Source organism: Homo sapiens, chromosome 3 (genome assembly GCF_000001405.40).
Source record: "Homo sapiens chromosome 3, GRCh38.p14 Primary Assembly".
Classification (NCBI taxonomy): Eukaryota; Metazoa; Chordata; class Mammalia; order Primates; family Hominidae; genus Homo; species Homo sapiens.
In genome coordinates this window covers 57,665,654-57,679,835 of record NC_000003.12, presented here as the reverse complement: position 1 = coordinate 57,679,835, position 14,182 = coordinate 57,665,654, and the positions used below count along the sequence as shown (strand labels likewise).

The following is a 14,182-nucleotide window of genomic DNA, read 5'->3' as shown; positions in this document are numbered from 1 at the left end:
CGCCTTCCCAGCCTGTATTTTTGACTCATTCAAGGTTAAAAATTCTCCAGCAGCTTCTTTAATGTAGCCCACAATCCCCTACATAGTCTTCTCTCTCCTTACTTCTTCAGGCTCACCTTGCCCCACTTCATCAGTGAGCAACAATGGACCATTGATGTGGAAGGTACACCCTCATGTTATGGAAGCAGAAACTGAGGCATAGACTGGCTAATGATTTCCCACAAGGACACATCTAATTAGGACCAAAACATGGTTTTGGTACCAGTACTGTACTTTCCATCCTTCCCCACTGCCTCTTAAGAGTTTGAAGATGCAGAGCTGTATTCATTTATTTTTGCCCAAAGTCAAGGTGAGTAAATGTGAACTTTAAAGAAAATTTGGGCTTTAAAGAAAAAATTGAAGTGAAGAAGAGATGATAGGAAGAAGCTGAAGATTTGGCTTAGGATGGTGGAATAAGAAGTAACAACAACAATGAAAAAGAAAGAAGGCAAAATGCTAATATTTTGTCTGTTGCCTTCTGTGAGGGCAGGTGGGAATATCTAGTTAACTGTGTTTCCTAAAAGCTAGAAAGATAAAAGAATAGGATGTGTGCATATGGTAACCATACCAGTGCATCCTGTTTTCAGATATTTGCCTTGTCTTCCCACAAACCATCTGTATTAGTCTGCTATGGCTACTATAACAAAATACCAAAAGACTGGGTATCATTTTGTTTTGTTTTGTTTTTGTTTTGAGACAGGGTCTCACTCTGTCGTCCAGGGTGGAGTGCGGTAGCACCATCTGGGCTCACTGCAACCTCCACCTTCTGGATTCAAGCCATACTTGTGCCTCAGCTTCCTGAGTAGCTGTGATTACAGGTGTGTGCCACCATGCCCAGCTAATTTTTGTAATTTTAGCAGAGACAGGGTTTTGCCATGTTGGCCAGACTGGTCACTCCTGGCCTCAAGTAATCTACCTGCCTTGGTCTCCCAAAGTGCTGGCATTACTGGCAAAAGCCATCACACCTGGCCTGCATGTCTTAAATAACAGAAATCTATTTCTCTTGGTTCTGGAGGCTGGGGAAAGTTTAAAATGAAGTTGCTTACCAATTTTGTTCCTGGTGAGGGTCCTCTTCCTGGCTTGCAGATGGCTGTGTTCTTGCTATGTCCTCACATGGTAGAGAGAAAGAGAGAGAGATCTCTTGTGTTTCCTCTTATAAGGGCACAAGTGCCATCATGTGAGCTCTACACTCATGACCTAATTACCTCCCAAAGGCCCTGTCTCTAAATATGATTGGAGGTTAGAGCTTTAACGTGAATTTTTGGGGGATTCAGTCCATAGCACCATCTAACTGGACTAGATATCTCTGGATTTGAGCCCCAACTGTATTTCTTATCTCCCCAATTGCCTGGAAAAAAAAATCTTATCTTAAACTATTTTTGTTCTCTTTGTAGAAACCAACCACCATTTTATGCCCCCTCTGAGGGCAGTTCAGTGTGTGAGGTACTCTTTATGGGTCTTGAAGAACGTGTTTCTCAGAAGAAAATAGTAGCTGTTTATCAAGGCATTTATGTGCTGGGAGAATCTCCTATTGATTTCTGATAAGCTGTAGAGATATCTTTGTTGAAATTTAAACATCTATATTCTATAAATCTATATTTATCCTGGAAAAAGTATCAGGAGAAATTATCCTATGAATGCCAAAAGAATTTGGTATTTAGTCTAAGTGGATTATAACAGAAAGTTCTTTTTTTTAAAAAAGAATCATTTCCTTTAGGAATGGCTAAATAAGATGTATTGGACTGGTTTAATGAGATATTGTGATGAGTTAGTGATTTTGACAAAAATGGCTGAGTAGTTCAGCATTTAGATGGTTGGATATTAAAGATGATATAACAACTTACAAAGAATGGGATATAACTAACCCTTACCAAGTGCTTCTATTTAGGAACTGAGAAGGATTATATTAATCCCAGCTGATAGGGGAAAGAGTCAAACTTCCCATAAATGCAGTCTGATACAAAGCCAGGAAGAATGTTGAGATCTAATGAATTAAGATACAGTAGTGCTTTCTGCCATCAAGGAAAAAAAGCAACCATGATTCTTTCTGTTAAAAGTGACAGGAAGGCCGGATGTAGTGGCCTATAATCCCAGCAATTTGGGAGGTGGGAGGCAGGAGGATCATTTGAGGCCAGGAGTTTGAGACCAGCCTGGGCAACATGGCAAGACTCCATATCTACAGAAAATTTAAAAATTAGCCAGGTGTGGTGGTGCATGTCTGTAGTCCCAGCTACTGAGGAGGCTAAGGTGAGAGGATTGCTTGAGCCCTGGAAGTCGAGGCTGGGGTGAGCCACAGTTGTGCCACTGTACTCTAGCCTTGGTGACAGAATGAGACTCTGGAGACTCTGTCTCAAAAAAAAAAAAAAAAAAAAAAAAAGGACAACAAAGTTAGCCCAAACTGGCATAAGAAAACAAAGTTTATTGATTCATGTTATTGCAAAGTTCACAGGTAAGCCTGACTCAAGGCACAATTGAATTTATAGTTGAAATAATGTAAGGACTTGGTTTCTGTCCATCTTCCTGCTGTCTTTCACTGTAGAGAATTGATTAAAATGATAGGCCATAGGAATAGAAGGTACCATTAGAGCCTTACATATCAATGGGAAATAGTTTTTTGTTTGTTTGGAGCAAATAGTGTTGGGAAAGTTGACGATTTAAAAAATAACAGTTTGAGGCTGGGCACGGTGGCTCATGCCTGTAATTCTAACACTTTGGGAGGCCAAGGCGGGTGGATCACTTGAGGTCAGGCACTCAAGACCAGCCTAGCCAACATGGTGAAACCCTGTCTCTACTAAAAATACAAGAATTAACTGGGCATGGTGGTGCACACCTGTAATCCCAGCTACTTGGGTGGCTGAGGCACAAGAATCGCTTGAACCTGGGAGGTGGAGGTTGCAGTGAGCTGAGATCACACCATTGCACTCCAGCCTGGGTGACAGAGCGAGACTCTGTCTCAAAAAAATAAAAAATAAATAAAAATAAAAAATAGCAGTTTGAGCTATAGCTCAGAATTAAAGAAAAAGCCCATAAAATGTTAGAAGAAAATCTACAAAAACTTAATTCATTGTTTTCTAAGTTTCAGTCATTCCTTGTCATATTATTTGTACTATTAATATTTTTCTTTAACTGGATTCTTCACATCCCTCTGCCCCTTTTTTTTACTTAGCTATATCTTAAGCATTTGTATCCATGATATATTGATTTTGAGTGTTAGGTCTTTTTTCCTAATACACATTAAATTAAGTACAGTACATATAACTATTAAAATTTTAGAAGGGCTCTGCGCCATATAACATCTCCACTGGCATGTGTGCCATGCTTTTGGAAACAAGGATTTAACTGTTAAAAGATTAGAGAAGGATTTTTTCTAAGACATCTTGTAACAGCAAGAGAAGGCCTTTTTTTTTTTTTTTTTTTTTTTAAATAATCTTATTCTTTTGCCAGGCTGAAGGGCAGTGGTGTGATTTCAGCTCACTGCAACCTCTGCCTCCCAGGTTCAAGCCATTCTTGTGCCTCAGCCTCCTGAGTAGCTGGGATTACAAGTGCCCACCACCATGCCTGGCTAAGTTTTTTGTATTTTTAGTAGAGACATGGTTTCGCCATGTTAGCCAGGCTGATCTCGAACTCCTGGCCTCAAGTGACCTGCCCACCCCGGCCTCCCAAAGTGTTAGGATTACAGGTATGAGCCATGGCACCTGGCCAAGAAGGACTTTTTTTTTTGAGAGAGAGAGGGTCTCACCCTGTCATCCAGGCTGGAGTGGAGTGGCATGATCTTGGCTCGCTGCAGCCTTTATGTGCTTGGGGGGCCTGACTCTCCTAAGACAGCCATTAGTACCACCAGGTGGCCTTTGAGGCACCTCCGGTATAATGTTTGAAAATCACTGGCCTTTGATAATTGGTGGCATGAGAGAGGCATTACTACCAATGCACACAAGATGCCTTCTGTGACTAATGTATAGTGCCAGTTGACTAGTCAAGCACTGAGTGTGTAATTTTTGTCACTTTGATAAATGTTATGTTCATCTCCTAAGGAGGTCAGGTTGGTTATAACATAGAGTTTGGTTGGCTTGTAGAGTGTGTGCCCTTGGGTGTGTTGTTTACTATTGTTTGTTCTGCTGGTAGCTGATCTGACCTAGCCCTGCTTCCTTGCAGGGGCTGTGGGGCAGGAGTTTCATCAGAAGGTGGTTGTGGTCACTGCAGACACTAAAATAACCTAAGAAAATGCATAATGATCCTTTAAAGGGACCAGAGAGAATTAGGATAGCCTTTATTGTGGAGATGGTCCTTGAGGTTTCTTAAACTGCAGATAATTATTTTTCCGTTTCATTTTTCTTTTACTAATAACTAAGTAGTTAGGATGTGTATTACTTGTTGGAGTCAGTTGAAAAATATTATTTACTGAAGTAGACGCCAGCTGAAGATTATTTTCTCTTTAGATTATAGGCTACCAAAGAAGACTCAGTAAGCTTTGAGTTATTAGTCAATTGGTAAATGGTTCTTGATAACTTAATGATTTTACCAATCTTTTGGAGATAACTTTAAACCAAAAACTTTTTTTACCTAATGTAAATATTACTCAATGCTCCCAGCTTTCCCCCTTGTTTCATTATTAAAGTTTGTGAACTGTTTCTTTTTGTTTTGCTTTTTGTCTTTTAACTTTTATTTTAGGTTTCTGGGTACATGTAAAAGTTTGTTACATAAACATGTACATAAACTCATGTCTCAGGGGTTTGTTGTGCAGATTATTTCATCACCCAGGTGTTAAGCCCAGTATCCAATAGTTATCTTTTCTGCTCCTCTCCCTCCTCCCACCCTCCACCATCAAGTAGACCCCAGTGTCTGTTGTTTCCTTCTTTGTGTTCATAAGGTCTCATTATTTAGCTCCTCCCACTTATAAGAGACAATATGCAGTATTTGGTTTTCAGTTCCTGCATTAGTTAGCTGAGGATAATAGCCTCCAGCTTCATCCGTGTTCCCATAAAAGACATGATCCCATTCTTTTTTTATGGCTGCATAGTATTTCGTGGTATATATGTACCACATTTTCTTTATCCAGTCTCTCATTGATGGGCATTTAATTTGATTTAATGGCTTTGCTATTGTGAATAGTGCTGCAGAACTAGTTATTTATTTATTTTATCTTATTTATTTATTTTTTGAGATAAGAGTCTTGCTCTGTAGCCCAGGCTGGAGTGCAGTGGCACGATCTTGGGCCCACTGCTACCTCCACCTCACAGGTCCAGGTTCAAGCAATTCTCCTGCTTCAGCCTCCGGAGTAGCTGGGATTACAGGCATGTACCACCATGTTCAGCTAATTTTTGTATTTTTAGTAGAGATGGGGTTTTACCTTGTTGGCCAGGCTGGTCTTGAACTCCTGACCTTGTGATCCACCTGCCTCGGCCTCCCAATTTCTTTTTTTTTTTTGAGACGGGGTCTTGCTCTGTCACCCAGGCTGGAGTGCAGTGGCGCGATCTTGGCTCGCTGCAACCTCCACCTCCCAGGTTCACGCCATTCTCCTGCCTCAGCTTCCCCAGCAGCTGGGACTACAGGCACACGCCACCACGCCCAGCTAATTTTTTTGTATTTTTAGTAGAGACGGGGTTTCACCGTATGGTCTCGATCTCCTGCCCTCGTGATCCTCCCACCTCAGCCTCCCAAAGTGCTGGGATTACAGGCGTGAGCCACTGCACCCGGCCGGCTTCCCAGTATTTTTAAAAAAATATTCTTGACTGGGCACGGTGGCTCACGCCTGAAATCCCAGCACTTTGGGAGGCCAAGGCAGGTGGATCACCTGAGGTCAGGATTTCGAGACCACCCTGACCAACATGGTGAAATCCTCATCTCTACTAAAAATACAAAATTGGCTGGGTGTGGTGGCACATGCCTGTAATTCCAGCTACTCAGGAGGCTGAGGCAGGAGATTTGCTTGAACCCGGGAGGGGAAGAATCACTTGAACCTGGGAGGTGGAGGTTACAGTAAGCCAAGATCACACCATTGCACTCAAGCCTGGGCAACAAGAGTGAAACTCCTTCTCAAAAACAAAAACAAAAAAAGCACAAAAAAAACTTCATTATTGTGGATATATAATAGTTGCACATATATATGGGGTACATGTGATATTTTGATGCAGACATGCAATGTATAATGATCAAATAGAGTTATTGGGATATCCATCACTTCAAGCATTTATCATTTCTTTGTGTTGGGAACATTCCAGTTCTACTCTTTAGTGATTTTGAAATACACAATAAATTATTTTTAACTGTGGTTGTCCTATTGTGCTACCAAACACTAGATCTTATTCCTTCTATCTAATTGTATTTTTGTAGCCCTTAACCGTTCTTTATTCCCCCCTCTCAAACTCTTACTACTCTTCCCAGCCTCTGGTAACTTACCATCATTATTCTATTTTCTATCTCTGTGAGTTCCTCTTTTTAGCCCTTACATATGAGTGAGAACATGTGATATTTGTCTTTCTGTGCCTGGCTTATTTCACTTAACAGTTCTACCCATGCTGTTGCAAATGACAGGATTTCATTATTTTTTTTTTTTCTTTTTCTTTCTTTTTTTTTTTTTTTTTTTGATACGAAATGTCATTCTGTCGCCCAGGCTGGAGTGCAGTGGCGTAATCTCAGCTCACTGCAACCTCCGTCTCCTGGGTTCAAGTGATTCTCATGTCTCAGGCTCCCGAGTAGCTGGGATTACAAGCATGAGCCACCACACCCAGCTAATTTTTGTATTTTAGTAGAGATGGGGTTTCATCATGTTGACCAGGCTGGTATTGAACTCTGCACGTCTCAGCCTCCCAAAGTGCTGAGATTACAGGTGTGAGCCAATATGCCTGGCCTGGATTTCATTTTTTTAATGGCTGAATAATATCCCATTATGTATATGTACTGCATTTTCTTTATCCGTGCATCTGTGAACTATTTCTGAAAGTGATTTGACCATAACCAACTACTATTTTAGACTAATGTTATATATATATATTTTTTTGTTTGTTTGTTTGATTTGAGACGGGGTCTTGCTCTGTCACCCAGGCTGGAGTGCAGTGGCATGATCTCGGCTTACTACGATCTCTGTCTCCCGGGTTCAAGTGATCCTCCTGCCTCAGCCTCCCGAGTAGGTGGGACTACAGGTGCATGCCACCACACCTGGCTAATTTTTGTAATTTTAGTAGAGACGGGGTTTCGGCATGTTGGCCAGGTTGGTCTTAAACACCTGACCTCAAGTGATCCGCCTGCCTTGGGCTCCCAAAGTGCTGGGATTACCAGCGTGAGCCACCGTGCCTGGCCTATAATATGTTTATAACTAATGTTTATAATATGTTTAACAAAATTTAACTCTTTTCTTCCAGGTAATTTATCCTCAGCATTCCAAACTTACTGACAGAGAAGTAAGTAAAAATACTGCTCTGTATAGTTTACTGTTATATTTCTGTTTGTTTTTATTGATTATGTATGTGTCAGCATACATCACTTTTGTTTTCTTTTTCAGAAAACCAATATTTGCTATTTGTCTTTTCCAGATTCAAATTCAGGTAACTGTTTTTCATACAGTGTTTCTGTTTAATTTTATACTAAGAATACTGGTTATACTGTTAATGTATGAAAATTGATTGAAATAGCATATTAGATTGCAAACAGATCAATGATTTTTATTCCTATTTTAATGATGCCTAGTCATGTCATCGTTGATTTTAGTAGCTTCAACTCTTAAAATAACTGTTATGGTGTGATGAGGTAAACCATCAAGGAACAATAAACTCTTAAAATAGTGAAGAGGTTGAAAATCAGCGACATTGGTATATTTGGGATTCGTGGAGTATGTATTAAATAGTTTATATAGTATGTAGTTTACTTTCAGTTCAGAATTTGGGAGCTTACCAGGAACTCTGTAAAAGCAGTGAACCTAAAAAAAGCCAGGATAAATTTGGTTAGGAAGCAAGGCCATAAGTTACGTGCAGTAGTTTATATGGGTTAATATAGGTAAAGCCTTGGCGTAGTGCTTGGTGTATAGAAAAAAACATACAAGGGTCTGTTTATTGTTGAGCTTGGTTTTGTTAGTCTCTTTCAAGCTCTTCCTTTTGTGTGGTCCTAATCGTTGACATCCTTCAGGTTACCTCTTGTGTTTCACTTTCAAACTAGCTTTTCTTGGCTTATAGTGACCAAAACATTTAGCTTCTCAGGCCACACACAGTTATAACCCTATAGCAGAGACAGTCTAGTTTTCTTTCCTTTTGTGGTTACTTCCTTTTTTTTTTTTTGAGATGGAGTCTCGCTCTGTCACCCAGGCTGGAGTGCAGTGACGCGATCTCAGCTCACTGCAAGCTCCGCCTCCCGGGTTCACACCATTCTCTCACCTCAGCCTCCCGAGTAGCTGGGACCACAGGCGCCTGCCACCAGTCCCGGCTAATTTTTTGTTTTTGTATTTTTAGTAGAGACGGGGTTTCACCATGTTAGCCAGGATGGTCTCGATCTCTTGACCTCGTGATCTGCCCACCTCGGCCTCCCAAAGTCCTGGGATTACAGGCGTGAGCCACCACACCCGGCCGGTTACTTCTAATATTGTGCTAGTTAGTTCATTTAATCTGATTTGAGAGATTTGACAGTTAAACAAAATTTTTTTTAGCATTTTCTCCTTTCTGTATAAATGCTTCCAGAATTTTTTTCCTATCCATTTGGAACTCAGCTTTGGTGAACTATATGAAAGAAAAGTGGTATCTTGGTAAATTAGATACTGCCTTTTAGAGATCCCAGTAAGGGGTTTTTTCTGACCTGGAATTATTTTGGTGTTTTTGACCCATTTATGAAATAATGATGCAGAGGTCTTGTAGGAATGTATCTTCATTTCAGTTAACATTTTTCTTATAAAATCTGTACATACACTTCTTATATACTGTGATGGGTTAGATTTCCAGGTCTCAGAGTAAGCTGAGTTGTATGGATTGCAGAATGAACTGACTTTCTGCATGGAATCCCAGTGAATTATGCTGGATGCTCTTCTCTTTCAGATCATAGCTGGTTGTCATGGCTCCTCTCTCTTTTTCACTTCTCTATATGAGCATGAAGGGGATCAGAATATACCACCCCCAAATATACCACTTTGGCTTAAGAATTATTTTGAGTTGAAGGCAACTGAGAAACAGCAGATGCAAAAAGAGCCCTTTACCCTCCCCCTATATGCCTAAAAGCAGGACATACATTTCCTTTTGTGAAGGTGTCACCCCTTCCCTTTCCCATACCAGGAAGAGGAGAAAATTCTGAATCACCAGAGAAAACTCTTTATCACTGGAGATGGTACCAGCTTAATTCTGCATAAATAAGCCTTGCTAAAATAACCCTTATCTTTCATTAGTTTTACCCATATGTTTACCTTCCCACAGATTACCACCCCTAGAAGTCCAAATCCTTTTTCCTTTGTCTGCATTTTAGTTTCTTTTGTTAAAATGGTATCTAAGCTCCCAAGTTTAACCACCTCTTTGGGTTTTTACTTTTTTTCTCTGAAGCCTTTGTATGCATTCGAACTAAATCTTTTCTCGTTAATCTGTTGTCTGTTTATTTCACAGGCCCCAGTTAGTGAACCTAAGATGGTAGAGGAAAAGTCCCCCGCATGCATACATCAAGGCTAAGAAGTTAATTCTGTGGTGTTTAGATAGCCTATATCTAGTTTTATAGCCTCTGCATGTGTCATTATCAAAAAAATTTTTAAGTACTTTTGGCTTATGAATGACCTACAGATTTTTTTTTTCTTTTTTCTTTTTTTTTTTTTTTTTTGAGATGGAGTTTTGCTCTGTCACCCAGGCTGGAGTGCAGTGGCACGATCGCAGCTCACTGCAACCTCCGCCTCCCAGTTCAAGTGATTCTCCTGCCTCAGCCTCCCAAGTAGCTGGGACACCTTTGCCTGCCACCATGCCTGGCTAATTTTTGTATGTTTAGTAGAGATGGGGTTTCACTGTGTTGGCCAGGCTGGTCATGAACTCCCGACCTCAAGTGATTCGCCTGCCTCAGGCTTCCAAAGTGCTGGGATTACAGGTGTGAACCACTGCACCCGGCTGATTTTTTTTCTTTTCTTTTTTTTTGAGATGGAGTCTCGCTCTGTTGCCCAGGCTGGAGCGCAGTGGCGCGATCTCCACTCACTGCAAGCTCTGCCTCCCGGGTTCACGCCATTCTCCTGCCTCAGCCTCCCGAGTAGCTGGGACTACAGGTGCCCACCACCACGCCTGGCTAATTTTTTGCATTTTTAGTAGAGATGGGGTTTCACTGTGTTAGCCAGGATGGTCTTGATCTCCTGACCTTGTGATCCGCTCACCTCCGCCTCCCAAAGTGCTGAGATTAGAGGTGTGAGCTACCACGCCTGACTGATTTTTTTCTCATAGATATTATTTAATGCTTTTTTTATGTGCTGCACATCAAATGAAGTGTGGTTCTTGTGACTTGAAGTATGGTTGGTACAAGGAAAATCTACAAAAGACCTGAAAGCAGGCACTTTGCTGTCTTAACAGATCATCATTGTCCTAGGTAGCAAGAGACTATATGTTTTGTAAATATTTGAAATTGCTATTTTCAGTTGTAGTTATCCATACAGTTTGGTTTTTTTATGTGTTTATTAAATGAAAATTGGAGGCCGGGTGCAGTTGCTCACACCTGTAATCTCAGGACTTTGGGAGGCTGAGGCGGACAGATAACTTGAGATCAGGAATTCGAGACCAGCCTGGCCAACATGGTGAAACCCCATCTCTACTGAATATACAAAATTAGCTGGGCGTGGTGGTGTGTGCCCGTAGTCCCAGCTACTCAGGAGGCTGAGGCAGGAGAATCTCTTGAATCAGGGATGCTGAGGTTGCAGTGAGCCGAGATTGTGCCACTGCACTCCAGGCTGGGCGACGGAGTGAGACTCCATCTCAAGAAAAAAAAGGATTACTGTACCAACTTTGAAATGAATTTGTTATTTCCCAGGATAACCTTTAATTGCTGTAGAAGAAAGTCCAGACACAGTAGAGCAGTCTTTAGGAAAGAGACATAAATCAAGCCTTTATTTCCATTGTATACCCACTTAAACAGCATGTTAGACTGGATGAAAAAATGACACAGATAAAAATGCTTTTGAGATTGGAATCGTTTGCCCTTCCCCGCCCCTCCGCCACCTTAGATTCTCCTGACTTTAAAAAAGCTTTGTTTGGTTGGTTTTTTAGGTTTCAGTTTTTTGTTTCATTTGAATGGCTTTTATCTTTAGGAGCCTAAGTTTAAAGAGGGCCTTCCCTCTGATAAATATTTGTCCAGTGTTTTTTTCCTTATCATTTACCATTAACATCATCTGGATGTAGGTGTTCCTGAGGCTTAAGCTGTGATGAGTGCCCAAGGACAGAAGTCACTGTATTTTAAACATGTCCAGAGAAAAAAACTCAGCATTAGTAGAGAGAGTTTGAAGCAATGATGAATCTGAGGGAAACATTAATCCTCCTTGTTCTGGATGGACTTGACATGCAGACAATATTCGTCTCAACACATTTCTTCTTTGTAGACAGCAGGGACATCATCATGTGCTTTACACTTCCCAGTTGCTAAAGCAGCACTTCTCATACCGTGTTGAAGGGCCAGTTGGGGTTTTTAATATTTCCAGTCAGTTATGGACCAATATTTTTGAAAAACAATTTAATTGAATTGTTAGAAAAATAAAATGAAATGAGGAAAAAAAAGAAATGTAAAATAAAAGTCTAATTTTTTTTTTTGAGATAGGGTCTTGCTCTGTTGCCCAGGCTGGAGGTAGTGGTGTGATCTCGGCTCACTGCAACCTCTGCCTACTGTGTTCAAGAAATTCTCCTGCCTCAGCCTCCTGAGTAGCTGGGATTACAGGTGCCTGCCACCGCATCCGGCTAATTTTTATATTTTTAGTAGAGATGGGGTTTCACCGTGTTGGCCAGGCTGGTCTCAAACTCCTGACCTCAGGAGATCCACCTGCCTTGGCCTTCTGAAGTGCTGGGATTACGGGCGTGAGCCACTGTGTCTGGTCTAAAAGTCCAAATTTATTACAGCAATATCAAGTTGCTATGAAAGTTTCTAAATATATATTCTCAACTTGCATATTTATTTGGTTATGGAACAGTAACAAGAGTTTATGGACTGGCGTCAGTCTATGGAATAAATTGTGAGAAGCTCTGGTCTAAAATACTGTTTCTCAGCAACCTAGCTTAACCACCCTAATCACAGAGAGAGTGACTATATAAGCTGAGGGTCAAGGGAGGGGGCTGGCTCTTGAAGCTTCACGTTTTGTCTTAGTCTTAGGCATTTTGATCCACTCTGTAGCTATGTTTGTACAAATATAAAAATAACATTTTAAGGCCAGGTGTGGTGGCTCTCGCCTGTAATCCCAGCACTTTGGGAGGCTGACGTGGGAGGATCACTTGAGCCCAGGAGTTCAAGACCAGCCTGGGCAACATAGCAAGACCCCATCTCTAGTGAAATTTTTTTTAAAAAGGCCAGGCACAGTGGCTTACGCCTGTAATCCTAGCACTTTGGGAGGCAGATCACCTGAGATCAGGAGTGTGAGACCAACCTGGCCAACATGGTGAAACCCCATCTCTACTAAAAATACAAAAAATTGGCCAGGCGTGGTGGCACGCACCTGTAATCCCAGCTACTCAGGAGGCTGAGGCAGGATAATCTCTTGAACCCGAGCAGTGAAGGTTGCAGTGAGCCTAGATCCCGCCACTGCACTCCAGCCTGGGCAACAGAGCGAGACTCTGTCTCAAAAAAATAAAATTATGTAAGTTAATTCTTATAACTACGTTTGTAAAAGAAAAAGTCAATTTCCATTAAAATTTTTCTATTTTTCAGTGAATCATCAGAAAGCTATGGTGCTCATAGCATAACTTTTATATCTTTTTGGATCTTGTAGATCTTTAGTTTTCTTAGTGATCGTATTGGGTAAGATGCTTGGAATTCAGTACAGTCATAGGTCAAATTGGGGAATTTTATTTTAGTGTCTTTGAGTGTTACTGCTGGAAGTGACTTTAGAGATTATCTAATAGTACTCCTTGATTTTGTTGACAAGGAAATTGAGGTGAATCTTTCCTCCAAATGTAACCACTATCCTTTCTTATAACAATACTTTTCTTTTTTTTATACTTTTATCACCCAGCCATGCATCCCTAAGCACGACAGTTTAGTTTTTCCTGCTTTCAAAACATTTTATAAAAGTGGATTTGAACAATATGTGTTATTTTGTGTTTGGCATCTTTTGCTCATTATTATGTTTGTGAGTCAACATTATATGCAGATATATTCCAAAAATGTTTAATTACATGAGGGATATGGAATAGGAAAAATAGTAAAGAGACTTAGGAGTTAAGATGCATGTTTTACTTCTGGCTTTGCCTCTAACCAGCAAGGATGGCTTTGAGCAAGTCACTGGAACTCTTAGGATTTTCTTTTTTTCCTCCAAAACATGACAGAATGGGTTAAAATGATTGATAGGATTTTTTTCAGCTCTAAAATTGATGAAACTGGATAAATGTTATACTAAGCTATCCTTAATTTATTTCATTTTTATTTTCATTAGGTTGTCTTGGAGATACCCAGTTTTGTTTTAGATTTCGACAGTCTTCTGGGAGGAGGGTGTCGCTGCATTGTCTCCTGGATCAATTTGACAAAGATTTACCAGTTTACTTAAAGGTTGGAAAAGTAGTCATAGGAAAATGTCCATGTGAGAGGAAACTTTAGAACTCATTTATTCAGTTACCGCTGACACCATTCAGAAATATTTTGCTTTTGTTTTGCTACTATATTATATAGCTGAATTTCCAAAGTGAGTCTTATTCATAAGGATTCAGCATCTGAATGAAAGGGACTTTATACAGTTACTATGTTTGAAACATAATGTCACTGTGATTTATAAAAATGGATTAGAATGTTGAGGTAATTTTCTTTCATTTGTTAATAAATTCTTGAATTAGATGTGGGAGTGGAGTTGTACTGTACAGTAACTATCATCTAGAGTTGAGGTAGTCATACTTGATAACATAGTTGTCTCTTTTTGATTTTTGAATGAGCCTTGTTTTAGTTATTATTTATTTAAAACATTTTAATAATTCAGATGACCTTACAGCCTAGATTTTTTTTTAAGTACATGAGGAACGTTTTC

General features: G+C 40.3%; 1 protein-coding gene across 5 annotated transcripts in view, besides 1 other annotated feature; it reads left to right on the top strand.

The window, feature by feature from the left end:
• The window catches only part of DENND6A (DENN domain containing 6A), a 67,624-nt gene that overhangs the window by 13,242 nt on the left and 40,200 nt on the right, over window positions 1-14,182 (top strand). For 4 of the 5 annotated variants that reach the window (XR_007095649.1, XR_245100.2, XM_006713019.4 and 1 more), the window contains exons 2-4: window positions 7,398-7,436; window positions 7,538-7,580; window positions 13,601-13,713. Coding sequence is in view for 3 of the 5 variants with exons in the window: in XM_006713019.4 (XP_006713082.1) it covers window positions 7,398-7,436; window positions 7,538-7,580; window positions 13,601-13,713 (195 nt within the window). In the remaining 2 variants the exon portion in view is untranslated. Of the gene's footprint in view, window positions 1-110; window positions 350-7,397; window positions 7,437-7,537; window positions 7,581-13,600; window positions 13,714-14,182 lie in introns of all 5 variants that reach the window. The other variant, XM_047447670.1, reaches the window with a different exon arrangement.
• Window positions 4,185-4,234: a silencer, noted in NCBI's record as "silent region_14481". NCBI's record gives its function as "represses an Ori minimal core promoter by ATAC-STARR-seq in GM12878 lymphoblastoid cells {active_cell/tissue: GM12878}" and the evidence as "EXISTENCE:reporter gene assay evidence [ECO:0000049][PMID:35858748]".